The sequence below is a fragment of the Homo sapiens genome, chromosome 12 (genome assembly GCF_000001405.40).
Source record: "Homo sapiens chromosome 12, GRCh38.p14 Primary Assembly".
NCBI classification, from domain to species: domain Eukaryota; kingdom Metazoa; phylum Chordata; class Mammalia; order Primates; family Hominidae; genus Homo; species Homo sapiens.
Genome location: NC_000012.12, coordinates 2,598,214 through 2,624,244, shown reverse-complemented (window position 1 = coordinate 2,624,244; position 26,031 = coordinate 2,598,214). Strand labels below are relative to the sequence as shown.

General features: G+C 51.5%; 1 protein-coding gene across 56 annotated transcripts in view, besides 2 other annotated features; it reads right to left on the bottom strand.

The window, feature by feature from the left end:
- CACNA1C (calcium voltage-gated channel subunit alpha1 C) overlaps window positions 1-26,031 on the bottom strand; it is a 727,171-nt gene that overhangs the window by 73,706 nt on the left and 627,434 nt on the right. For all 56 annotated transcript variants that reach the window (XM_017019926.3, XM_017019934.3, XM_017019946.3 and 53 more), the window contains 8 exons: window positions 22,285-22,391; window positions 19,077-19,164; window positions 18,459-18,566; window positions 17,582-17,634; window positions 17,115-17,261; window positions 15,533-15,734; window positions 13,546-13,704; window positions 12,232-12,342 (listed from right to left, as the gene is read on the bottom strand). In XM_017019926.3, coding sequence (XP_016875415.1) covers window positions 12,232-12,342; window positions 13,546-13,704; window positions 15,533-15,734; window positions 17,115-17,261; window positions 17,582-17,634; window positions 18,459-18,566; window positions 19,077-19,164; window positions 22,285-22,391 — 975 coding nt within the window. The remainder of the gene's footprint in view (window positions 1-12,231; window positions 12,343-13,545; window positions 13,705-15,532; window positions 15,735-17,114; window positions 17,262-17,581; window positions 17,635-18,458; window positions 18,567-19,076; window positions 19,165-22,284; window positions 22,392-26,031) is intronic.
- Window positions 11,758-11,910: a silencer, noted in NCBI's record as "fragment chr12:2721501-2721653 (GRCh37/hg19 assembly coordinates)". NCBI's record gives its function as "represses an EF-1alpha promoter that drives an FKBP-Casp9 reporter gene in an ReSE screen in phorbol 12-myristate 13-acetate-treated (for megakaryocytic differentiation) K562 erythroleukemia cells {active_cell/tissue: K562(+PMA)}" and the evidence as "EXISTENCE:reporter gene assay evidence [ECO:0000049][PMID:32094911]".
- Window positions 12,335-12,835: an enhancer, noted in NCBI's record as "H3K4me1 hESC enhancer chr12:2720576-2721076 (GRCh37/hg19 assembly coordinates)". NCBI's record gives its function as "activates a minimal SCP1, AML or CMV promoter by ChIP-STARR-seq in primed H9 embryonic stem cells {active_cell/tissue: H9 hESC(primed)}" and the evidence as "EXISTENCE:reporter gene assay evidence [ECO:0000049][PMID:30033119]".

Genomic DNA, 26,031 nt, shown 5'->3' with positions numbered 1-26,031 from the left:
TACCTCCCCGAATCATGGTGACGCCCTACAGATTTCCAGAACTGTGTTCTGTAGAACACTAGGTCTGTGGAAGTGTTCATCGGCGTTACAAAAAACCAATGACACAAAACAAACCCCCAAACAAGGACCCCATCCTCCAATGAGCCTGGGAGGGTTGAATTTCAGAACTTTGGCCTGAGGTAGTCTCAGGGCCCAGCACCTCTCACTGGCCCTGAGTTCTGCACTGAACTGTCTGAGCACACTTGAGCCAGAATTTCCCTGACCTGGGTGGCCATGCTGCTAAGTCCTGCTGAGCACGGCACGGATGGCGGCTCCGGAGCCACTGTCTTTGCCTTCCATCTCTGCTTTCTCTTCCGGCAGACCACCCCAGAGAGTGACAAGCTCCTGTGGTGGGTGGAGAACTGAAGGGGGTGTCCTTGCTGGATGCCGGAGCTTGTGAGCCAGGGGCTGGAGTCACTTTTGCGAGGAGGGGCACCCCAGAGGAAGCTGCCTGTCTTGTCTTCCGTTGGCCTTCATTCAGCTGACACTGACAGAGATGACAGGCACACGGCATTCCTGGGCTAGCATTTGGAAGGAGGTCAGTGTGGATGCCACCAAGAGACAGTCCTGCTCAAAGACTTTCCAGTCCTGCTGGAAGGATGAGACATTTCCATCAAGAGCTCTGATTAAGTACCAGAAAAGAGGGAAAAGGGTGCTCTGGAAGCTCAGAGGTGGTGGAGACCACTTCTAGCCAGGCTGATCTCGGGAGGCAGCTTGAAGGATGCAGCACTAGAGGTGTTTATTATTTATTACACGGAAAAGGTGAGAGCATGGGTGGCTCTGAAAAGGAGACAAGGGCTGGAGGACGGGGCCGGCCAGAGCAGCTTCCTCTGTGGACAATGGGGAACCATGGAGAGGCTCGTGGGGGCACTCAGGACCAAGCAGAACCACGAGGAACAGCGAAGCTTCTGCAGGGACCCAGAGAGGCTACGGCAGGGGAGGGATGGGAGGGAGAATGCCAGGCAGGAACCAACAGTCTCGATGTTTGAACGTGACCCAATCACAGCCACTTTCCTTTCATCCCAAATCCTAAACCCTTGTCCCACTAGACTGCCACTTTTTTTTCTTCAGGCAACATCTTAGACTGTTCTTGAATACCTTCCCAAAGAGCAGGGCTGAACACAGAGCAGTGAACGACGAAGGCCTGGGCTCCTGCAAAAGATTTTAAGGCATTTCCCTGTACATCGAAAGACTACATAGAGATGAAAACGTCTTCCTCAAAAGTGACTCCAAGAGCAGGGCATTTCTTGCTGTGGTCAGGGTTATCCCCACGAGGCTGAGAACAGCCACTGGCCCTGAAGATCTGTCCTGAGGCCCCACAGAAGGCCACCAGGAGATGGAAAACTGAGCCGGCCAGACTTATGAGCCTCAGGCTGCCCTGACCATTGTAGGGGCGGAACACAGGTGAGGTGGTGGGTGGTGGGCAGAGCGAGGAGAGAGGAAAGATTGTGAAGGAAAGAAGAGAGCTGTATGAGAACGCCTGTCCCTAGCTTCAGCATTGGGCTGGGGGCGGGGTACACTCCCCCATTATCCTGTGTTTTTTATAGCAAAGAACCTCTTAGCCAAAGAGAAGTGCAGAAGGTCTGTCTTGGAAACTCCTTTTATGGAATCATGAGGACTGCAAATTCAATTCTGCACAGCTGGGAAAAGGAAAGGGCCCTGGTTCTGTCGCAAACATGTCCAGCAAGGTCTGGGAAGGCCTGGCTTTTGAGCTCCTCCAGGGCAAGGATTTCTAGTATGGGAGAAGGAGGGGCAGAGTCAGGGACCTCTGTGATGCTCAGTATGGGAGGACGTGGGTGAGGGTAAAGGTGCACACTGAAGACCCCAGATCAGATTATGCAGTTCCCCCACTGAATGACCCATCCCTGTGGTTTCCAAGGACAGTCAGAGGAAGTCCACACTCCTCACTGTGGTCCTGAAGGGCCTGCACACACTGGCCTCTGTCCGGCCCTTTTCATGTCACCCTCTGGACAGCAGGGCAGCATTCTGGCCTCCCTCTGCCTGTCCTCAGTTTCTAGAAGGCCTGGAGGACCGTTTCTTTCTTCTCCGCAGCTGGCTTAACTCATCCCTACTCTTATCCTGGGGAATGATATTTTCTTCTCCACCCCTCATTTCAGCCTTCCTGGCTCTTGGCCTCCAGACCCCTTTCCTTCTCCTTCCTCTCTTCTCTCCCAGTTTCCTTGTGATTCTGCATGTTCTCCAACTCTTCTCCCAGGACTTGAAGGCTTCTGGACAGGATTCTTGGAGTTTCTATCTTCAGAGGGAATAGATGGCGCTGACTCCTAAAATACATCTCCAGCCCAGATCGCCTGTCTGAATTCCAGATTTTCACAGCCTACGTGACATTTTCTAACCTAATATATCCCCACATTCTCACTTTAAACTGGTTTCTTCCTGTTCTTCTCTATTTCAGCAAATGACACCACTCTTCCATCCACTCAGGGAAAGCCAGGAACCCCGGAGCCGTCTCTGATTCCTGTTCCTCACCCTCACATCCAATTCGCCATCCAGTGATGTCATGACTCTGCCCCCCTCGCTCCATCTCTTCCACTGCCACCTGCCTTCCCAGCATCAGGCTCCTTGCTGCTCCCCATCTCACCACACCAGTCATTTGTCAATGAGCAGCCAGCATGCTGGTTAAAAAATGAAAATCAGATTATATAATCCTCCCCACTGAATGGCCCATCCCTGCGGTTTCCAAGGACAGTCAGAGGAAGTGCACACCCCTCACCGTGATCCTGAAGGGCCTGTGCGCTCTGGCACAGTCCTTTTCACGCGCCACTCTCAGTTTCCAGAGCGAGCTGAGCTTGCCCCTGCCTCGGGGTCTTTGCTCTTCCTTCTGCCTGAAATGCTCCTCTTCTGGCTCCTTTTCACCCTCCAGGGCTCAGCAGAAATGGTGCCTTCCTGACCTCCTTATTTTAAACAGGTGCCTCTTCACTCACACTCTTTAGTTTCCCCACCCCAGCCCTTACCCCATCTGAAACCTTTGTTTGTTGTGTATTGGTGTCTCCCGCACTACTCTGTGAGCCCTATAAAGATGGTACCATGCTTCAACATCATCACTGAGGCGCTCAAGAACTACTTATAGAAAGAAAAGATGGAAAAGGAAGTACGGATAAGTGGAAGTTACAGAGGGGTGCATTTTAATTCAGTATAAAGAAGGATTTCCAACAGAGCTACCTCTAGAAACAAGGAGACTTGTATGGCAGAAAGTAGGACTGTGTAGAGATTTCTGCACTGATGGAAGCTCAATGGTCTCAATCCTTTCTGACACTAATATTCCGACTTTCTTTTCCGGGCTCACAATTCTCATTCATCCATTCATGCATGCATGCATCAAACTTTCACTGAATGCCTCTCATGGCACAGAGATGAACATGAAACAGCTCCCGCCATTGATGAATTTGGCAATTTTTGTGTCCCCAATGTGTAAGTCTTCCCATTGCAAATGTGTGTGCATGTGTGTGTGGAAACACATGCAGATGAGTGTGTAGTAGGCTTCGGTTTCACTTTCCTGAGCCCACCTGTCAGCTGACTACCCCTCTCCTGAAAGTGCTTGTCAACTCAGATTTGGAAACAAAATTCAAAGGTCCAAAGCAATCTAGGGAATGCAGGGGCCACAGACAGAATGGCTGAATGAGAGGGAAGGACGGCAAGGGGCCTCAGAGAAGGTGGCAGGACACAGGAGTGGAGTGAACACTTTCCATTCCAGAGGGTGGTGACTCGAGAATGGCTTTCTTTCTTTCTGTCTCGGATCTTAGAAGGAAGACAGCTAACATTTACTGAGGACTCACTAAGCGCATAGCAACAACATGGCTTATTCACATTTCTTGTTTTAATAGGGTTGTCGTGGAAAGAGTGGCTTTTGAGTCACCTAAGCCTGCAATAGAATCCCAGGATTTTTACAATGATTAAATGCATTCCTATTAAGGTGCTTAGAGCAGTATTAGGGTGCATACTAAGCAGGATGGTGTTTGTTACAAACTGACAATAACAACAAAAAGCCAGCTCTGGACTTAGCCTTTTTCTGACCTCCAGTTTCTTCAGATGTAAAATGGGAGGCCATAATATTCGTCTTATGGATTGAATGAGATAAGGCAAGTAAAATATCCAGCTTCATGTCTGGTTCTTCATTGACAATATATGTTGTTTGCTTCCCTCCAGTGCTTCTAAATGTTACTTGATCTCAGGTGTAGGCATTGATTATCGACTGCTTCTTTTAAGTTGAAATATGAATGCCAGCTGACAGGAGTTTTCCTAGTGACAAATGAGAGGGTGAACTGGGGATGCTACAAGTCTCAAGAGTGGGCCAAAGTCGCCCCAGGCAAGTGTGGCCTTACCTACCTGCTTGTATTCATGATTGAGTCCCTGGTACCAAGCCTACCGCCTAGCACGTGAGCTGCTCAACAAAATATTTTGGGGGTTGTTGGTGAACTTTAGCCTGCAGCAAAACACTAAGCAAGTCACACAAACAAAGAGTTCTTGAAATAAAGAATACGAAGAATGGCAAGGCCTAGGCACCGAGAAAGAGAGGGAATGGTGAAAAACTGAGCTGAAGGCTTGAAAAGCCGACTAATGGGTTGCATTAGCCACAGGAAAGGGGAGTGATAGTTTAGATGCTGGTAGCGTCGTTGATGCTTGCACAACCCAACTTCAAGGATGCATTAAGATGAGCCTTAAAGTTATTTCATGGTGTGAGACAGAAATCAGACTGAAGGGATAGAATACATGGGCTCAGGATGAAAGACGACAGAATACCAATATTGCAAAAGGGCCCATTTAAAATGGTCACAGACAAGAGGGCACACCCAGGCTGGAGGTGAAGTTCCTTTGGTGCTGAGTTAGAGGGCTGGGCGCAAACTCCCCAGGCGTAGGGATCCGGCTGAGTTTCATCTGAATGGCACTTTCCCTGAAGCCTTCATTCCTCTGTAGATATGACCTCACTCAGTCTCACCACAGTATGCTAAGGCAGTCTTCCTACTTTACAGAGAAACAGACATGGAAGGAACAAGTGCTTGTAGGAAGCTCTTCCTGTCCCGTCTGCTCAGCCCTGGCTGGTTCAAGGTGATGCTGAGGTGGGATCTAGGCTTCCTGGGTCTCAATCTACCAGAATTTCCTCTCTGGGTGGGATCTGGGGTCAGTGGATGATGAAGCGAAGACATAAAGCAAAATTTGCTTTGTAAAAATTAAAACTTCACAAAAATTACTGCATCATACAGAAGTGCATGGCTAATTTAAAACAGTTGGAAGAGGATGATTCCTGGTGAGCGGTGCAGGTGGAGGCAGAGGTCAAGTTGGAGAGAAAGTACATTTCAGCCAGCAATGTCATTGCTGCCGAAAACATGACTGAAAAACAAACCAAGTTCCTAGAAGATTCTCCGCTTTCAAAAAGAGGAACGGGCTCCAGTGTGCATCCTTTCCTCCTGGCCATCCCACTTCCCCTTCCTTCTCCTGGTCCTTGACTGAGCTTTTAAGAACACGTTCTGAAATGTCTCTCAACAGTCCATGGAAGAGTCTGTGGACATCGGAGTCTCTCCTGCCTCCGGGGCAGGCTCAGCTCAGGCCTGATGGATTTAGCTTGCAGGGTTCCCCTGGCCCCTCAGGTGGCCACATTGGTGTCTTTAGAGGAATTCTGGCCCTGGCATTCTTCCCACTGCCTCAGCCCTGGCTGCCCCAGGGCACCGGTGGGGCAGTTTGGGGCCTCGTGGCCTTTGCCACACCTCTCCTTAGGCTGATGAGCCGCTGCTCTGACACAGGCTCATGCACTCTCTTCTCCTGTGGCTGTTTCTGTCACCATTGGCAACCTTCAGGAGCCTGTTCTTTGGTGTGCCGTCCACTTGCCTCCTCCCGGGGGCAGAGAACATGTCTGATTACCATCCAGACTGACACCCTGGCCTGGGTGGGAAAGAGGCCTGGCCCACAGTTCGTAAAGGTGGTTTCTCTTCCCTTGCTCAGACAAGCAGATCTGACCTTTGACTTGGGGGCTGAGTTGTCTGCTGAGGGTGCCCTCCCAACTTCTCCACCTGCCAGGGGAATGTCAGAATCTGGTCCCTTTCCTGGGAGCAGCTCACTCCTGGCGCCACAGACTCCAACACCTAAAACAGCAGGTCCACACCTGAGCAATCCGGACCCTCAGCCTCCAAAGTCCCCTTGCATCTGCACAGGGCATGGATGCCCCTGGAGAACCCCAAGCTGGCTGGAGGAGGGACCACAGTATCTTCGGGTCATGTGACGAAAGCTATTTGCCCAAAGAGGCCAGATGCTAAATCTAAAGGACAGAAGTTTCTAGACATGGACAGAGCTGACAGAGTAGATGAGAAACTGGGCTGTTGTTTCTCTATGGAAGCAAGTGAACTTCCCCATGCACCCACCTCCTCATTCCAACTTTCCCTCTGCCCATCCATATGCGAACCTACAGCCCCAACTCAGCCCTCATCTGTGCCTTTCGACACAAGCCCAGTGAAAACAAGGCAGCTGGTGATGACCCTTCCATTTGAGCCACATCCTCAGGGTATCCCCAAAGATTTCTCCCCTCCGCAGGGCCTGTGGCCACCCATGTCAGGGCCAAGAATCATTTGTAAGAGCAGAAACCAGTCCTAAGAACAGCAGAGCCTGCAGAGAAAAGACTGCTCTGGAAGCCACAGGATCCCTGCCCCCACATGGGCACACTGGATACGAGGACGGCTGCCCCTGAGTGTGGAAAGTCCAAGGCCAGCAACAGCCTCTGTCAGCTCAGAGCCTTCACGATGCAGAGTGGGCTGGTTTTGGCACACGAACTCCAGGTGCTCGCCACTAGGACGACCATTCCAGAGCCCCCTGGCCCTCCCTATAGCTTAGCTGGCATATGTGTCAGTGAGACCGGGGCAAGGCTGGGCCCAGAGCTGTGCTATGAAGAGTGGCCCCAAGAGAGAGCCAGCATTTGACCTCCAGGGTCCCGAGCAGCTCTGGTTCTGGTAGCATCTCATTCACCAGGCTACCGACTAGTCCTGACTCATCCCTCACTCTCGATAAAGGAAGTGCCCAGGGCCTCGTTGATGGATTCCTCAGGACAACAGGTGGGGGACCGGAGAAACCGCTCCTCTTTCTGCCTCTCTACTCTCTGAGAAGCAGACAAGGCCAAGGCTTCACTGCCTTCATTTCCTCTTTCCTGAAAGATAACAGGGGCTTCAAAGCAGACAAGACTGTGGCAACTGAACTGCTGCCCCATTCTTAGCTGATCCTCTGAAAATGCCAGCCACGTCCTTTGTGTGTGGTGGCAGACAGGAGCCACAGCCCCAGATGGCTGTGGTAAGGCCTGTCGGGCCCAGCAGAGACCAGCGTGCAGGGCAAGGGCGCCGGCAGGAAGTCTGGAGAGGAGCCGTGGTGAGGAGGCTGCCTCCACTTCGGAAGTGGCATGGAGGCCATGAGGCGGCAAGTCTGGCCAGCAGCTGGACAAGGCTCTGCACCCCAGAGGGGGTCAGCTAAGAACCCAGAGGGGCTCACGGCTGTTAGATTTCTGTCACTAGGGCAATAAAATGCTGATGGGGAAGTCTAGACAGAAGTCCAATCGACTGTGGAAAAGAGTGTCTGGGTGCCCCATGGCTCACGGGACACGCCCTATGGGGGCTCGCAGCAGCGACTAACTCCAGACCTCACCTGCGCTTGCTGCCTTCTTAGGGCCAGCTCAGGACTGGGTGGGAAAGAGTCTGCAGGGAAAGGGCTGGGTGCTTGCAGCTGCCACTGGCTGGGGAAGGCCAGGGAGGGCTGGGGCAACTGACAGTGGGAGAAACTCACTCGGCCAGGGCGAGAGACTGTCTAACCCAGTCAAGAGGGGCTCCACTATATATGCGTCAACTTCTGGCTGAAAATCACCAGAAGAAAGGGTAGGGGGATGAGAGAAACCATCTGGCTTTGTGAAGCTGGAGCAGCTGGGCTGAGGAGGCCCAGACAGAAAGAGAGCGGAGACTGGGAACGTGTGGGAAAGGGGCCAGGCCTCCCGAGGTTTCAGCTGCTTATTCAAGAAAGCAGGGGGTCAGAGGGGCCAATGAGTGCTTTCACTCTGGGTCCATTCTCCCCTCTGGACCATTCTCAGGCTGGGGGAAAGCCAAAAAGGGAGACCGAGACTTGGATTCCAGAGAGCTGCCAGGGTCAAGGCCCTTCCAGCGTCCTCCTCTTGGGGAGGTGATCACTGGCTACTCCCTGAGTGGGATGGCTTCAGCTGAGGGGCAGAGGTGAGTCTCAGCTGCTTCACCCCTCTGCGGCCCAGGTGGAGCCTGTGTGGAGGGGAGGAGTTAGGAGCCTTCCACGGGGTGAACCCCTGCCTTCCTGGCATACCACATTCCACTGAGGAGGAGAAGCTTGGAGCGCAGCCTCTCACTCATCGCCTCCTGCAGCTCCTCCCCCCCAGTACCCTTGCTGAGACATCCTCGACAGCAAACCTCAGGCAACTAAGTGACATCATCACTCCCACTACCAAACCAGCAGCCGACACTGGAGTAGCTGAGACAGACACTGCTTCCCGCGCCAGGCTCCTGTGCATTCCCTCCTTGGTGACCTCAGAGCTGCCCGAAGGGGCTGAAGCCTCAGGACCACCCAGCCTCATCCTGTTGGCCGTAAAGGATTTACGTGTGGCTCCCTCTCCTGCCATCCTCACCTCCAGCAAAGTGCAATTGGGAGTTTTAACTGGAATGGTATTGAGCCTATGGATCAGTTTGAGGAGAAATGATATCCTAATAATATTGAGCTTTCCAATTCAGGAACATGATAGATGTCTTCAGTTATCAGCTTTTCTTGAATTCCTTTCAATTTTATCATTTTCTCTGTAGAGATCTTAGCCATTTCTGTTAGACTTTTTCCCCAGGCATTGCATATTTTTCAGTTTATCAAATCTATAAGAGTATCTTCAAAATTTATTTTCCTGTCTTTGCTGACAAGCTTCAGTTCATGATAGGACTATCCAGTTATTTAATTACCTTCAGAATATTCCAGCCAGCACTTTTCGTGCTGCCCAGCCTGGTCCTGCACCTTCGTGTGGGGTGCAGGGGCCATCCAGTTATCTCCAGGTCATGGCCTCTCACTTCTAGGGAAGGAGATCCTTCTGGGTCACTGTTCACTGTTCAAATCAATGCTGGCATGATCCACCTCACTCTCTTCAAACCATGCCTGCAGGTTCCTGAGGCTTTGTCAGGGACCGACTCAATCTAAACTGGTTTATGTTGATTCCTAGTTTCTTTGTGTGATTTTTTTTTTTTTTTTGAACAGAGTATGAATTTAAGGAGTGGGATGGTTAGATTTAAGGCAGGGACTTACTTGAGTAAATTTATTTTCCATGGAGTGGTGAGGAGAACACACAGAAATGAAGAAATTGGGAACATCCATGACCATGAAAACAATGAAAGAATGAAGCAAGAATACAAGTTGACCGGCTGATGGACCAACCAACCAGCCAGTTGCAGAGACGAAACATAAGCAGTGACAACTTCAGACTGTCTTCAACATCCTTGGTTCCTAGCCATCCTTTCACAGCAAATGCTGATGCTCATCTGGGTCATACACAAACAACCATGCCAGTGAAATAAAAAGTGCAGCACAGAGTCCTACTTAATGGTGGGAAATGAAAGTTGTCATGGATTCAGGTCATGGTTAGAAGCCACTGGTTCTTGGGCCAGATCCAGCTGGATATTCTTCCAGAGCTTCAAGTTTTTCCAGTTTGGTTTTCTGCCTGAAAATTTTGGAGCTGCTTTACCTGGAGTCTATTTGTGAATGAAGAACATAGCTCAGTAAGAATCCAGGGACTCAGCTGTGCTCCATGATGCTCCTAACTGGGTGGTGACCTTTATCCCCCTCTTGCCAGAGCCCCTTTAGGGAAATTCACAGGGAAAGATCCATTTTCCTTTCTCTTTACACCATAGATGTACCCTGGAATGTGAAATGCAAATGGGCCCAGGATGGCTGTCTTCCTTCTTGGGTAAAAGTCTCTGTTATCTTGCCCCATCTTCTCACAATAGAAAACCAGGGACAGAGGAAATTAGGAGGCACTTTACAGTTTAGACCACTCGCAATGGTTACTTCCTAGGAAACTGGCTTGTTCCTTGATTGGCAGGATTTAGGTGGAGTGTCTTTTAGACGGAGGACGGAGGCTCCTGCAGGTGTCAATTTCATGCACTTCCCAGGGAAGGTTGTCTGTATGTCTCCCGTGCTCAGGAGGCATGATTCAGAAAGTCCACTGCAGGCTCTCCAGACTGCCTCAGACATCGTCAGAAACACATCTGAGTCAACTGTGGAATGACTCAAGGCTTTGAAATATTTAAACCATATGTCTCGTGACACTGTATGAAAATGATGCCAGTTTCCCCACTGAGAGGAGTCATCCGAGACTGAGGCTCGGCTAGGCAGTGACTGCACTCCTGGCCTCAGCTGGTCATGCTGCTGTGGGTGGCGAACTGTCAGAGCTCCTGGGCTGCAGGGCTTGGAATAGGACCATGTGTGGGCACAGACACCGTGTACCCTAAGGAAGGTGTCAGGGCAACGCAGGGGTCCTCTCTAGGTCAGGACAAGATCTGTCCTCCTAAATGGGACTTGTACAGGAAGGTGAAAAAGAGTGTACTTGCTTCTCTGGAGAAGGCAGGAAACCACCGTTCTATCACCAAAGGATGTCCCTTAGGAGACTTCCTCTATGAAAATCAGCTGGGATCCCCAGGCATTCTTTGAGTGACAGAAGAATCTGCATTGTAGGAATATTGTCTTATCTTTTAAGTCCCTCCAAGGTTGTTTCCCTCTTGCTAAAAAATACCCGCAGAACACTTGACATGGGAAAATGATAGTTAACCTCAGTGTGGTGGAAAATACAGTGAAGTCAGAGGTGCCGGATTCCAGTCTCCGTTCTGCCAGTTCTTAGCAGTGGATCAATTAATCCTGGGCACTTAATTGTTTGAGCCTCCCTTCCCCCTTCTCCACAGAGGGATGCTAATACCTACTTTAAAGGGACGTTTTGAGAATGACGTGCGATGATATACATGTAGCACATGATATGGAATCCAAAGTGTGAGTGAATATTCATTCAAAGAAGGCTGTGGATATCTCCTCAATGAACATGGATTCAAAGGCCGAGCTGGACCCTCCCCCACCCCCAATTAATCTTGAGACCAGTAAAAACTTGAATGAAAATAGAAGATATGGCCAGGGATTCTTGCTCTTGGCCTCCTGTTGATCTGTGTTGCCTCTGGGAAAACTACCAAAGGAGGGAGGGGAAGGCTCAGTAAGCTGGAGAGATTGTCTCAAGTCTGTAACTGCATGATGCTCCTAGAACTCGTTCCTTCTCATCCTTCTCCAAAAGGTGTTATGGTAGCCTGGGGGCTGCTCAGTTGCTCTTATAGCCTCCCTCAGAAGCAGCTGTCCTGGTGGTGAATCCCGGCCAGTGGATACCCGTGATTCTGACCCATCTACAGAGGCCCAGGGTGGAAGGTGTGGCTCATACCAGTGTCTGCTCCTCCACCACTGAGGACAATGGGGGTGACTGGCTAGGAAGGGCACAGATGATCCAAAGAACAGGAATTCTGACCCTGCCTCATTCAGCAGCAGGCCTAATCTTCTTGCCCTTACACAAGGAACAAAGCAGAGAAATTTGCTGGTAATTGTTCTTCCTGCCCCAGAGCATGTAAGGAGCAATGCCATAGCCTCTTAGGCAGGGAACAGGAGTGCCCATGGGCTGGAGCCCTCAGTCCTGAGCCCTGAGCAAATCCAGCCCTGGCTGAATGTTTTATATGAGGTTGGTCTGTGTGGCTGATGAAATGGGAGGAGGGTGGAACAGAGGCCTGAGTGGATCTGGGGGGCTGGGCCTGGAGAGGTTTGGTCTGCCAGTCTATGAGCATAGTTTCTTCTATTAACAGGTTATGTACTAGAGGATGGGACATAGGAGAAAGACCATCACCTGCCTCTCCTAGGAGAGGCTCAGAGGTTCAGCTCAGCGAGGAATCTGCAGCTTGTGCATGCCAGCCAGGGTCAACACTGAGAGCTGAGAGTGTTTCCTGGAGTTGGCCTGGTTCAGCTCTGGGCAGGTGTAGGAGTTGGGGCACTGACCATCGGAGCAGGGATGGTCCTTCACCGATGCCTTTTTCCCTCTTCCCCTCATTCTGCCTTCAATACCTGCACCCCACCTCCCCGTTCTGTCCACCCCTGATGCCTGGGAATCAAAGGTCTTTCTCAGAGGCCTACCTTGGGTTTGAAGGCAATGAGCTTCAGGATCATCTCCACGGTGAAGAGGCCAGTGAAGAGCATGTTGAGGATGTTCATGGCGATTTTGAACAGGCAGCTCTGGCCGTAGTGCTGCATCAGGAGAGGGGAGGAGCTGTGAACACGGGGCAGGGAGGTCGCTCCTCCTCCCCACCTTTTGCCCAGCCTTCTCGAAGGCCCTCGCCTCAGCAAGACCTTCCTTGAACCAAACCCCCAGAGGGCCGCCCACCTCTCCGTGGGCAGTCAGGAGGACTCAGGAGAACCTCCAAGATCTTCCCTGCTCTGCCATCTCTGAACACATCTGTGTTCATTTCCCTGGTTGGCCGTGACAACTTTATGGAGACTCTGGCACTCAAGAGAGCTTGGGAACAAGCTCTGTCCCTGAAGACAGGTGGATGCAGAACCCACCTCCCTCCACACGCCACACCTTACCGACAACGAATGCGTCCAGCTCATCCCTCCCTTCTCCATCTCCTCCCCTCTCCCCACTTATCAACCAACAATGAATGCATCCAGCTCATCCCTCCCTTCTCCATCTCCTCCCCTCCCTTCTCCATCTCCTCCCCTCTCCCCATTGATCAACCAACAAGGAATGCATCCAGCTCATCCCTCCCTCCTCCATCTCCTCCCCTCTCCATTGATCAACCAACAACGAACACATCCAGCTCATCCCTCCGTTCTCCATCTCCTCCCCTCTCTCCATTGATCAACCAAAAATGAACGCATCCAGCTCATCCCTCCCTTCTCCATCTCCTCCCCTCTCTCCATTGATCAACCAACAAGGAATGCATCCAGCTCATCCCTCCCTTCTCCATCTCCTCCCCTCTCCCCATTGATCAACCAAAAACGAACGCATCCAGCTCATCCCTCCCTTCTCCATCTCCTCCCCTCTCTCCATTGATCAACCAACAAGGAATGCATCCAGCTCATCCCTCCCTCCTCCATCTCCTCCCCTCTCTCCATTGATCAACCAACAACGAACACATCCAGCTCATCCCTCCGTTCTCCATCTCCTCCCCTCTCTCCATTGATCAACCAACAATGAATGCATTCAGCTCAACCCTCCCTTCTCCATCTCCTCCCCTCTCTCCATTGATCAACCCAGGGTGCCATGGATTCTTCCGTAAGGCCCAGAGAGGAGCACATCCTTGACAGAGAACACTCGTCTTTCTCCAAATGCCTCCCTTGGTGACCAGGAAAGCGATGCACTGAGCTGCCTGCCGCTCCGTTACACTTTCCATCCCCATGGCACACTCCCTTCTGCAGCACCATGGCTGTGCTCCTCCTGGGACTGACCTGCATGGCCAGGCAGATGGTGTTGAGCAGGATGAGGACGAACATCAGGTACTCGAAGTAGGTGGAGTTGACCACGTACCACACTTTGTACTGGTGCTGGTTCTTGGGGATGTACCTCCGCAGGGGCCGGGCCTTGAGGGCGTATTCCACGCACTGTCGCTGGGAGGGTGGTGGAGGATGGGGAGAGTGGGGTTAGTTAACTGGAGGGTGTGGGGGGAGCTGGCAGAGAAGTGTGGGATGTGATGAGACCACACACTGTGGGGTGGGGTTCTCCGGAAGTCTGAGAAATCATTGGCCGCTCCGGCTCACTTACAGGTGGGAGGTGTTATTTGGAAAATGTCTTGATTTTTCCATGGCCCCCTTAATCAAGGAGAGAGCCCCTTCTTGTCAAATCCCCGTAACAAGGTCCTAGGCAGGGACCATACACCTCCTTTCCTCACCCTGGTGATGCCTGGCATGTGCCTCGGCAGGGAGTCGGCATCGCTAAGAATGTGCTTCCTGACCGACTGACAGCTGTGCTTCTCACTGATTACTTCCCATGCCACAGACCCTCCTTGGGTACTTCTCTCCTCAGTTTTTCTTTCCTGTCCTAAATCCAGCAGGCTGGAGTGCAGTGGTGTGATCTTGGCTCACTGCAACCTCCATCTCCTGGGCTCAAGCGATTCTCCTGCCTCAGCCTCCCAAGTAGCTGTGATTACAGGCACACGCCACAACGCCCAGCTAATTTTTTGTATTTTTAGTAGAGACGGGGTTTCACCATGTTGGCCAGGCTGGTCTCAAACTCCTGGCCTCAAGTGATCCGCCCACCTTGGCCTCCCAAAGTGCTGGGATTACAGGCATGAGCCACTGTGCCTGGCCAACTAAATCAATCTTTCTTATTTGCCAGTGTCCATAAGATGGAAAAACACAGTTCACTGAGAGGGAAGGAGATTCTGGGCTAACTAGATTCTTGGGACTCTGGCAAAGAGCCAGTCCATTTCTCTGTACTTTGCCCAGGCTTCCAGATCAGGAACTGGGGAATGTCCCCAGCTTCTTCTCAAACCCTCAGCCCCGGTGTCCAACGCCTGAGTCTTAACGCTTTTACCTCCTCCTATTCTTTCCATCGCTACCATCATTAACCGGATACTAGATCGGGGTCTAATCCTCTCTCATTTCCACTTTCTAACTGGCCTCCTCTCTTTCCTGTCTTCTTTCAATCCAGGGTCCACACAGCAGCCAGCAGAGTGAGTCTATGCCTGAGATGTAGACTTGAAAACCCACAGGGGACTGGCTGGCCTGGCGAGGGTCACAAGGAGCACACCACGCTGCGCTCCTGCCCGTGGGCACTCCTTATTCACAGACAGGGATGTGTTTCCCCACGGACTCCTCCCAGTGGGAGCCGAGCTAGGGAACAGACCTGAGGCACTACATCTACCTCCCACCACGACAGCTTCCTGACTCAGCCACGGCACTGCCAGCTCTTCACGGCTAACAGAACCTGTCACGATACTTGGCATCACCATCTCACTCCCACTTAAGCCTCTTTCCTGCCCCCACCTCCCACACAAGCCTCTGGGTTTTACTTAAGAAACCATGTAAGAGTGGTTTCCTGAAGCCGTTCTGTTCCCCACCCCAAAAGCCCTCACTCCCTCACAGTTCTAGTTTCTCTCCTCCGTATCATGGTGCCGACCCACTTGGGTCCCTCTAACTTGTTAACTTCTATATAGGGCATGAGATTTGACAAAACCTATCATAGAGTATCCTTAAGTAGAAGCTTCATAGATATTTGTTGGCTGAGTACATTTGCCAGATCTGGGGTTTGCAGGAATTTGCATTTCTTTTGCACAGGTCCCTCAAAAAGACTGACAGCCCACTCTGGTTGAGGAATAGAGAGACGATCTCAGTATCTGCACGGCCTCTCCCTGTCGCAGCCCCTCTGCGGGGTGGGCCGCAGGCTGCCATTCCCTCCGTGGGCCCCGCTTCCCTCCGCTCCTTCCTAGGAAGCTACCTGGTTCTTGTCCAGCTCACAGTTCTTGTACTCCTGCTCCCCCTGCTCCTGAAAGGTGACGATGACGAAGCCCACGAAGATGTTCATCATGAAGAAGGCGATGATGATGATGTAGATGATGAAGAAGATGGAGATCTCCACACGGTAGTTGTAGATGGGGCCCTTGTCTTCCGTGTGGGAGTCGATGGAGCGGTACAGCAGCCTGCAGGAGGAGACAGGTCCCACAGAGGGAACTGGAGAAGCAGGGTCCCCTCTGCGGAAGGACGGCACCACTGCTCCAGGGATCCCAGGGATCAGGGTGCAGGAGACAGCTCTGGGCTGGAGTCCCAGCTCGGCCTCTTACTGGCTGTGTGACCTTGGGCAAAGCGTTTAACCTCTCTGAGACTCAGATTCTTCATCTGTAAATTGGAGACAATAATTCCTGACTTTCCTACCTTGCAGGGTAGTTAGAATAATGTATAGGAAGGTGTTTTGAAACTGTGAAGAGCTATTTAAATGTAACATGAGTCATGGACATTGATTTAAAACACTGGAAATATTGGTAAATATTGAGACAGCTTTGCAAACTGGCATGAGCTCAGAGAATGTTAGAAGGAATGTAAAATAAATCTCTCCGAGAGCAAATATCCACTTAGATAAAAACACTCACATGACCCATGCTACTCCGATCATCACCAATGGCCTGGTTTTAGACATAAGCAGTTTACATACATATGCCATTCATTTGAGCCTGGGCTGTGTGCCCCATGAAGCTTGTTATTTTTCATGGACAGGGATTATCTCTTCCCCTTCCTCTGTAGCCCTGCACAGCACTTGGTTATTCTCCAGCTATCACCTATATCTTACCACATAATAATGTGACTCTTACCTAAGATCCATGCATTGCTGTTGACTTAGAAACATTTAGAATTTTCTGACTTTCAGATTCTAATTTCACTGGAATACATATTGGGGGAAAAGCAGGTATCTATACAAAGATATAAGGATCTGATGGGAAGCTGCCTGGTAGAGGTGATGCAGCGTGCAAGGCCCACGGGCTGCTCTACGCACAAACGCATTGCCTCTGCAGAGGAAGTGGGGCCCGGGCTTCCATCCCTTTCCTACTTTCCACTGTAAATACAGGCAAGGCTTTTTCTAAGGAGACCGGGATCCAGTCAAATAAAACAAAGACATCTCAGCCATCTTTACCCAATGAAGGGCATGCTGGGAGTGGCAATCTTGAATCCTATGGTGACCACAGGGCCCACACCTGGAGAAGCTCTCCCCACACCCAACTCCCAGATGCCATAAGGGTAATGACAGAGATCTCTGACATCGTGGCTCATGCTGAGGTTGGAAAGAGGGCTAAAAAAAGGTCACTTTTGGTGGGAGTTTCTTGACACCTTCTAGAGAAAGAAGAGTCGGTTTCAGCAGTGACAGTGGACTGTAAGTTCTAGAAATACACCTCACTGCCTGGGGAGGACCCAGGTAAATATGACCTCCAGAGGGAGTGCGGGACATTAACAAAACTTGGGGATGGGCTGGAAAGTCAGTACTGGCCCTTGAATGTCAGGGCTCGTGGGGCCTTGCTTTGCATACTCACTCTGGCCACCCTTCGAAGGTGGAGACGGTGAAGAGGGCCATCATGGCTGCCAGAACATTGTCAAAGTCAAACTTGCTGTTCTCCCAGCTGCGGGGTTGGATGATGGGGTGGTCAACCTCCCCGTCTTTGTACGTGATGTAGTTGCCCCTGAGAGAGGAGGAGAAGGAGTTTACTCTGGGATCTCCCATCTTCCTTCACGCCTGGCCTGCCAGTGACCTTGAATGCTGGGTGGGATGGGACTGCCTGGCTTGAACTTCACCGTTCTAGCCATGGGAGGAGCTTCAGTGGGCAGAAACTTCAGGAACAAAAAATGCTACACATTGTGTCCGTGAGGCCAGATGACACACAGGCAGAGCGCAGGTGCCACTGCAGTCTTAGAAAATGAGCTGTCCCTCCTTTCTGGTCAAGCCTCCAGCCTCCTGGGGCTGACCGGCCGTGGCCCTGGCTGCCCTCCCACCTCTACTCACTTGCATTCCGCCTCTGTCTGCTTGGAACTGTCTGAACAGGTGTACAGCTTTCCCTGGAAGGCAGAGAACAGAGTATCAGAGATGTTCAGTAATCAATGAGTCAATCCAAAAGCAATTAGTGAGCATCTCCATAGCCCAGCACTGTGCTAGGGACAGTGGGATAAAAAGTGCAGAATCCAGATGGGCAGGACCTGACTCACACGCACAGAACGGTGGCGAATACAGACGCCAGTGCTGCAAGTAGCACTGCAATGCAAAAACAGGAGCTCGGGTCCATGGGAGCTGTACTCTCCGGGGAGGTCTCGCCAGGGAGGGAGAAGTGGAGCTGGGCTCAGAGGGATGAATTAGATGGGCGTTTACACAGTGGAGGGGAGCGGGGGCGAATGCTCTAGGTGGGAGAATAGCAGAACTAAAAGGGTGAGGGCAAAAAAGACCAGAATCCAAGGAGGACACGAGGGGTGCTGCAGGAAGCAGCAGGAGCTGACTTTGACAGGTGCAGGGCTCTGAAAGCTGGGTGGTGCAGTGGGGACGTGATGCTGTTGATAATAGGTCACCGCTGCAGGCTTTAAGCAACTGACTGACACAGAGGTTCCACAGGATGAAAGTCCCTCTCTCTCTCTTTCTAGAAGGAAGGGCAGTGACCTCAAGGGCAGGTGAAGTGGAGAGGGTGAGGGGCCTCTGGCCTGGTGGCCCGATGCCTCCTTCTAGCGCCTCCCTACCCTGGTCTGAAGGTTGAGTCGGGCTGCAGGTGGAGGTTATATCCAAGCCAAGTCTGGCTCAGGACACTGTCTCGTTTGTACTATATCTGCCAGTTCCCTTCCCCAGGAATGCTGATGGGAGGGGAGGTAGGAGGACCACAACGGAGCCCAGACTTTACCTTGAAGAGCTGGACCCCGATGCAGGCAAACATGAACTGCAGCAGGGTGGTGACAATCACGATGTTCCCGATGGTCCGGATGGCGACAAACACACACTGAACCACATGCTGCAGTGGGAAGGGACGGGGAGAGGGACGTGGCTTCAGGAGATGCCAGGAGCCTTTCCAGGAGGTAGCAGGGGCAGCCCGTTTGCCACAACGGGGAGTAATTGGGCTGAGAGGGGCAAAGCCACGCTCCCAAAGTCACATGGGAAGTGATGGACCCTAATGGGATGCAAAGGCCCCCACTGGACTCTCCGTGACTACAAGGACAAAAGTCCTGCCAACCTCCCATCTTACAGTGGAAGGAATATAGGGATGGTGGCACCACAGGGGCACAGGGTTTGTGTGGGATCTCCCTTTGGCACATTCTGCTTAGGGCAGACACTTGGGATGGCTGCCTCTGTTACTATTCTGTTCATTACGGAACCGGGACATGCAGTGGGACCAGTGTCCGGGACCCCACATGGCAGCCACTTGGTCTGACCATCATCTCCTTCCAACCCACCCCTCACCTCTGTGGAGCTCCCACTCCCCAATGGGCTGGCTGGAGACTCCCTACCCAAGCCCTCAACTCACCTTTAGCCCCTTGGCCCTGTTGATGGCCCTCAGGGGCCTGAGTACTCGCAGGACTCGCAAGATCTTCACGACATTGATTGCACTGGACCTGGGAGAGGGAAACAGGCAGGGTAGTAAGCTCCTCCTGTTTCTGGGGGGAGCAAAAATAATGTGGTAAGGGAATGTCCTGACAGGTGAATCCGAGGCAAACCTGAGAAAACATAAAGCCCATCTTGGGGATGTTCGCATTCTGGGACCACTCTCTACTCCTGTCTCCCATCCCGTGAGAGCCTGGAGCTTGCCTGTAACCCTGGGGCTTTCCTGTGGGTGACTAAATAATATGCAAGGTGGCTCATGGCAGGTCATTAGCAATGTACTGTGCTACTCACAGGGGCATTCACAGTGTCACAGAAAGAAATTCAGAGCAAGGCCATGGGAATTCAGACCCCAGTGCAGGCACTTGCTAGCCAAGGCACTGAGGACAAATTTCCTAAATTTTCTGAGCTCTAGTTTCTTTATCTGTAAAATGGGTCTGTAATCAGCTCAGAAGGTCTTTGCAAGGGTTAAATAAGAATTCTATGTAAATCACCCAGCCATGTGCTTGAGAAACTGCCTGAATGGTACCTGCTCATGAGGCCTGCTGAAGACGTTACTACACTTAAAGGAATGCCGTACTAACGGTGGGATCTCGGGCCTTGTGGCTGGAGGTGATGTCATGGGGAGGAGATTTCTTAGTGTTTATCTCCAAACACATATTGCCCCTGACACCTAAACATAAAACCCACCCAGAGCACACTCAGGACTCCAAGGAAGGATGGGCTTCGCTGTTGGGGCTCAGGAAACAACACCCCGAAACGACGGCCTTAGAAGCAGTCTCAGAAGCAAAAGTTTTTCTCTGACCTTCTCTTGCCCTCCTGTCTCAGTCCCCTTCTCCTCTCAGGCTAGCCATAGACACTAGAATCCCTCTTCCCCAAGATGGGTCACAGAAACCAGAACCCAGAACCCCGTTTCCTCAAAGCCAGCCACACAACCTAAAATATTATTCAAAATTTCCCTCTCCTTTTCTGTATAAAAACTGGCCATAAAAAATGACCAGATCCACCATGTGGGAGTGTAGATCCTCAGACTCCTGTTGCAGACGGGATCCTGCCCCGACCCAGAAGGAGGGAAAGCTTCACAGAGAGCACAAGAAGAACCTAGAGACAGGCCTTGCTGGGTTCCCCACTCGGTCCATTCACGTTAGATCCTACGCTTCTTGTCCAATCACATTTCTACATGGCTGTCCATACTTTTTTGAACCTAAGCAGAAAAATGGTCAGTTTCCCCTGTATCTTTGGGTCTGCATTCTATAGGCTCTGTGTATACACGTTAAATAAATGTGAATGCTTTGTCTCCAATTAACCTTTCTTTTGTCAGTTGATTTTTCAGTGACCCTTCAGAAGGCCAGTCCCTTTGGCTCCTACGTGGCACTACAGGTTCCATACACCTGGGATGCTGAGGCCAAGCCAGAGCTTCTCGGAGTCTCGGGCTACGGCTTTTCCCTAGTGCAATGGAGACAGCAGGAGACAGGTCCCTAAGCAAGATGCCTGGATGGTTTTTGGAGCTGTCCATCCTACCCAGGTGGGGCTCATTAACCATACCACCTTGGTGAGCAGCTATGGAGCACATCCTAACCCTCACGGGCTAACTACCTGAGATAGCCTCTCAAGCTTTTGGAGAGCCTCATACTTGTCTTGGGACCTAAACAATGAATGACAGGCCAGCAAGCGCTGATTTCATGCTTTGTGTGGTCAGGATGATGTGCTCAAGGGGCTGGTGGAAAGATCCGATTTCTCTGGTGCATGACTCTTTTATTCCAAGAGATGCAAAGGCCATTCCTATCTATCACTGTGTCTCTCCTACAGTCTCTCTGGGAGGGAGTCAGTTTGCACCGAATCACAATGGAAGGGATTTAAAGGTCAGATGGGAAAAACACAGGCTAAAGAGGAGGAATTCCTCATTCAAGGTTAAATAGTGACTGAGTGGCCATGCTGGGATTCAAATCTGGACTTGTAGGCTCCCAGGCAGAAAATATGGGGTAATATAACTGATGATCACAGAAAAGGGTCTCTCCCAAGGTCCTGGTCCCTGCATGATCTCAGCCAACCATGAAAACACTCTTGGGAGGAGAGACCCAGGAACGCTGGGACTTAGGCCTTTCTCTACCACAGGTGTGACCTTGAGCAAGTGTCATGATGTCCTGAACTCCAAATTTCCCATCTATACAATCATGATAACACTTGCCCCGTCTCCCCCATCGTTTTGTGTGTGTGAGGACCACAGAAGAATGTGTATGTGGAAGTGCTTTGAAAGTTAAAGTGTAGGATTCACACTATCAGCTGTTAGAACTTGGTAGAAACTGGTAATCAGATCCTCCACACCTGAACGAGGACTGCAAGCTTGGCTGTACAGGGGAGTCACCTGGAAAGCTCTTAGAACTCACACCCAGACTGTACCCCAGACCAGTGAAATGAAAAACTCACACACACACACACACACACACACACACACACACACACAAGACACAAATATACACAGTCACACACATACATGCACTCACACATACATATGCACATACATACACATATACATTCACGTCCATAGACACATATGCAGACACAAACACAAACACATACATACACACACATACACACAGCCACAAACACACATCCACATATACACACACCCCACACATCCACACACGTGCACACATACACCCCACACTTACACAGACATATATATACACACATTCACACATACACTCATACATGAGGTGCTTTGGCTGGAGAGAGAGGGGAGAGAAAGGGAGAAGGAGGGTCCAGGTCAGGGGAGGTCACGGCAGTGGCAGACTGTGGGTTGCTGAAGGTCAGCCTAGGGCACTGGGGCCGTGGTGGAGGAGGCAGGAAGGTCCTGGAGACAACCGTTTCTTAATAGCTGAGCCTGGCCCTGCCTGTCATGGCAAAACCCAGATAATTAAACATATTCTCACCTGATCAACGTGCCCCAAGTATCAGACCACTGAGGACACAGAACCAAGAACCCAAAGCCACCATGCACAGCTTTGGAGGCCCCACCCCACTCTCATCACACTGCGGTGGCCCTGCAGGCAGGCCCTCCAGGGTCTGGTTGTCCTCTCTGGCACCCCTTGCTAGCTGCATGGCCCATCGTGGGCTGAGGGGCTCCCACTCACTGGATGCCAAAGGAGATGAGGGACACGCTGACCACCAGCAGGTCCAGGATGTTGAAGTAGTTCCGGCAGAAAGAACCCTTGTGCAAGAAAGCCCCATAAGCAGTCATCTGCAGGGAGGGACAAAGGAACACCAGTGTGAGTGGCCCTAGCCCTAGCCCAGAGACCCCTCACACCACCCCTTCCTCCCACAGCATCCCTTGGGCAAGTCCCAAGCACCATCCATGGGGAACAGGAAGGACAAAGACGGCGCTATGGTGCCAAGAAAAGAGTTCTGCTACCATGCACACAACCACCCAAGACTCTCGCAGCCCAGGACTGCTGGGTGGCTCCTTGCACCTGCCAGGCCAAGCCAGGCTCTTTAGTCCTCCATTCAAAGCCCTTTCAAGTGGGCCCCACCATCCCACTCTAATTTCGCACTGTTCCACATCCCAAGTCCATGGCTTTGGGCCTGCAGGGTCCTTTCCTGATGCTGTCGGGTTGGGAGCACACATCCCGACTGCCTCTCCAAATGCTTGAGTCCTTAGGCCAGCTGAGAGCACCAGACATCTGCCGTGAGTGGGTGGGTTGGGGGGCGGGGCATGCCCAGCAGGGTGACCAGCCATCCTGGTTTGCCCAGATTTGCTTTATCATCAGAAATCCTGCATCCCAGAAAACTCCTCAGTCTTAGGCAAACTAGGCCAGCTGGTCACCCTGGTGCCTGGTGAGAAGTTCCAGTGGTGACCCTGGCAATTAGCATACCTCCCCTTCCTGGCCTCAAAGGGTGCTTATTATTGATGCCAAATATTCTAAACTCAATTCTACTGTCCTGCTTCTAGACTACATCTGGAGTTCTTTAAGGGCAAAAGTTGTGTGATCAGAGGGGCTATGAGGCTCAGTGGCTAAGAGCACAGGCTCTGAGGCCAGACGGCCTGGGCTGGAATCCCAGACCTGTGGTATTTTATTTTTGTGGCCTGGAGCAAGAAACTCAAATTCTCTTAGTGCCTCTGTTTCCTCATTGGAAAAATGAGGATAAGGTCTACCCTACAGGGTTGTAAGCATCAAGTGGGTACCTCTATGTAAAATACTTAGGATGCCACCCTGCACACGGTGAGCCCCATAAAAGGGTGAGCTGTCACTACAGCCTGGATTTGAATTCTGGATGCTTCCTGGATGAGAAAAGTTCTGTTTTCTCATCAAAAGGTGAGGAAACTATCCCCTGGCTTTGTGAAAGCCCTTTGGAAACTTTTAAAAAGAGAACACACAAGATGACGATGACTGCTACAGGACTTGGCCATTATTACCACCCTCTGAGCCTGGTGTAAAGCTGCGCACTGCAGGTGCTCAACAAATCACCTTTACAGCCTTTCTCATTTTGCCGACTTGCGTAAGGGCCAGTGGTTATCCAGGATAAGGGCTGTGACAGGCAGCGGACAGGAAGCATCGGCCAAAGGGAAAATGTGGAGCCGACAGTGGAGAGGTGGAGCAAGGCTCCCCGGTCATCTGGGGTCCAGTTCATCTCTTTGGAATCAGAGCATGCCCAGGGCAGAGTGTCCGCAGAGCCATTCAAAAGCAAACACAGAGGGAAATGGGCAAAAATAGCTCTTGCAACCTAATTCTTTCCATTTATCTCTTGCAGCAGGGGGTCCCAAAGGACTCAGGCACCTGTGTTGGGCAATGGTTTTTAGAAGTGGGTAGATTACATAAAAGATGCAAGGGAGTATAGTTCTAGAAGGCCCACCATCTGGAAGCCTTGCCTCCCTGCCTCTTGGTGAAGAGCTGGGACCCCCACAGACTGGACTCAGGAGGCTCCCATAATTCATATTAATTGTGCCTGCAGAAAGCCCAGTACTTCCCCAGCCACCTTGCTTTTAGTGTTAGGAAGGCACTGGGTCTGATCCCTTCTTGCTCCTGGCTTGGATCTTCTGAGGCTACTACTGAGCTCTAACAGAACACTCTGCATTCCTCAGATGGGTGGACTAATAAGGCTCAGAGTGCCAACTCTGTCCTCTGGTTTTGGGCTCCTGTTTTGTTTAGGGACCCTCAAATGAGACCAACACTTGAGCAAGTGCATGTGTGTGCATGTGGGGGCGGTGGGAACATGCATCCAGGCAGGGCCAGAGGAAGAGTGGCTGTACAAGAAAGGGCAAATGGACATGGGGAAAACGTAGCATTTACTTGAAAGTCATCTGTGGTGTTCAGGGCATCAGGAAAAGCCAGACTCAGGTACCCAGTGCTAATTGTTCCTCTTTGACCCTTTTTTTCTGATTGCCAGCCACCTCGGTCCTGCTTTCCTAATTCTACACCATTACTTGGGAAGGGGCCCTTGCTGGGGTGTTTCCATCCTGAGGAAGGAAAGGAATGGGACGTGGCTCGCTAGCTCTGCCTGGAAGGGTAGGAAAGCTCTCTGTTCAACCACGGGCCATCCCTGCCTCTCCAGGCAGCTCTTCTAGCTATGAAACCTGTCTTTTTTTGTGATTTCTACTCATTGGTCTTGATTCTGCCTTCTTCCTCTTCTATGTGACGGTCCTTTGTATGACTCAGGCCAACTGTTGTGAGCCTACAAGCCTTTCCTTTTTAAGGCCAAACATTTCCAGGCCCTTCCACTGTTCCTTGTGCTAAATGTCCCCCTTGGACAGCCACGGTCATCTGTGCCATGACATGACACCGGGCCTTAGGCCGGGAAGAGGGACCCAGTGGGAAGGAGGTACAGGGGAGTGTTCCGGCATTGGGGTTTCTATTCAGAAGCATGCTGAGCATAGAAGAAAGTAGAAGAGGGAGGGGATGGAAGGACCTTGCCATGACAATGCTTGCAAAGAGACCTTTCACTTCAGCTTGTATGGCAATCCCGAAGGAGAAATAGCACCATTGAAATCCACAAGGGCAGCTCTGTAGAAGGGCACTGAGAATTGGGCCTCAGAGCGTCTCTTGTCCTGGGAAAGAACTCTGGGGTCTGTGTGCCTCCCTGCATCTGAAGTCCGGGAAGCAAAGCAGCTCACCATGGAAAGCAGGTTTTGCCGCGGTGCATCTTAGTGCAGCCACGCAACTTTCGGTTCCCTCTCCCGACCTCCAGGAACCAAGGCCTGGTCAGATCTACTCTCCACGAGCAGAAAAGAAAAATCTGAGCCACATACTTGGTTAGCAGGAACCAGGGATGGCAGCTGGGGGCACCTGAGTGTCCTGGGGACAAGGACACAGGGGAAGGCACATAAAAACTGCCCCATTCAATTTGTATCTGGATGTGACTGAACTGTCCTGTCCATCAACAGGCTGGGCCATGATGAGGGAGTCTCATCAGGGAAGGAGAGGCCTGCAGCTGGCAGTGGCATCGGTTAGGTGTGGACTTCAGCTTGCATTGGCCACAGCGATAGGATGACAAGGGAGCCTGGACTCCTTGGGAGGGGGAGTCCCAGGCTAGTCTCCCAGGAAGAAGCTAAAGCTGAAGCATGGGCTTCAGAGCCTTAGTCCTTCTGTTTGGGGAAAGGGTAGAATCTACCCCCTTGCTCAGAGAGGAGCACACGTTCCCTGAGGTCATGGAACTCACACCCTGACTCTCAGATGAACTGGCTTGCCACGCATTGGTTTAGAGACTCAGAAATATACCCGAAAAATGGAGGAATACTCTTTCTCTCATCCCAGTGTTGCCCTGAGGTGGGCTCTGCCTGTTCTGAGGGTAGCAATGTTGCAGCAGTTCCCTTAGCAGAACTGAGCTGGGCCAGCAGCAGGCAAGGGCTGGGGGCTGGGGGCTGGGTGCTCAGGTTCCTTGCGGCA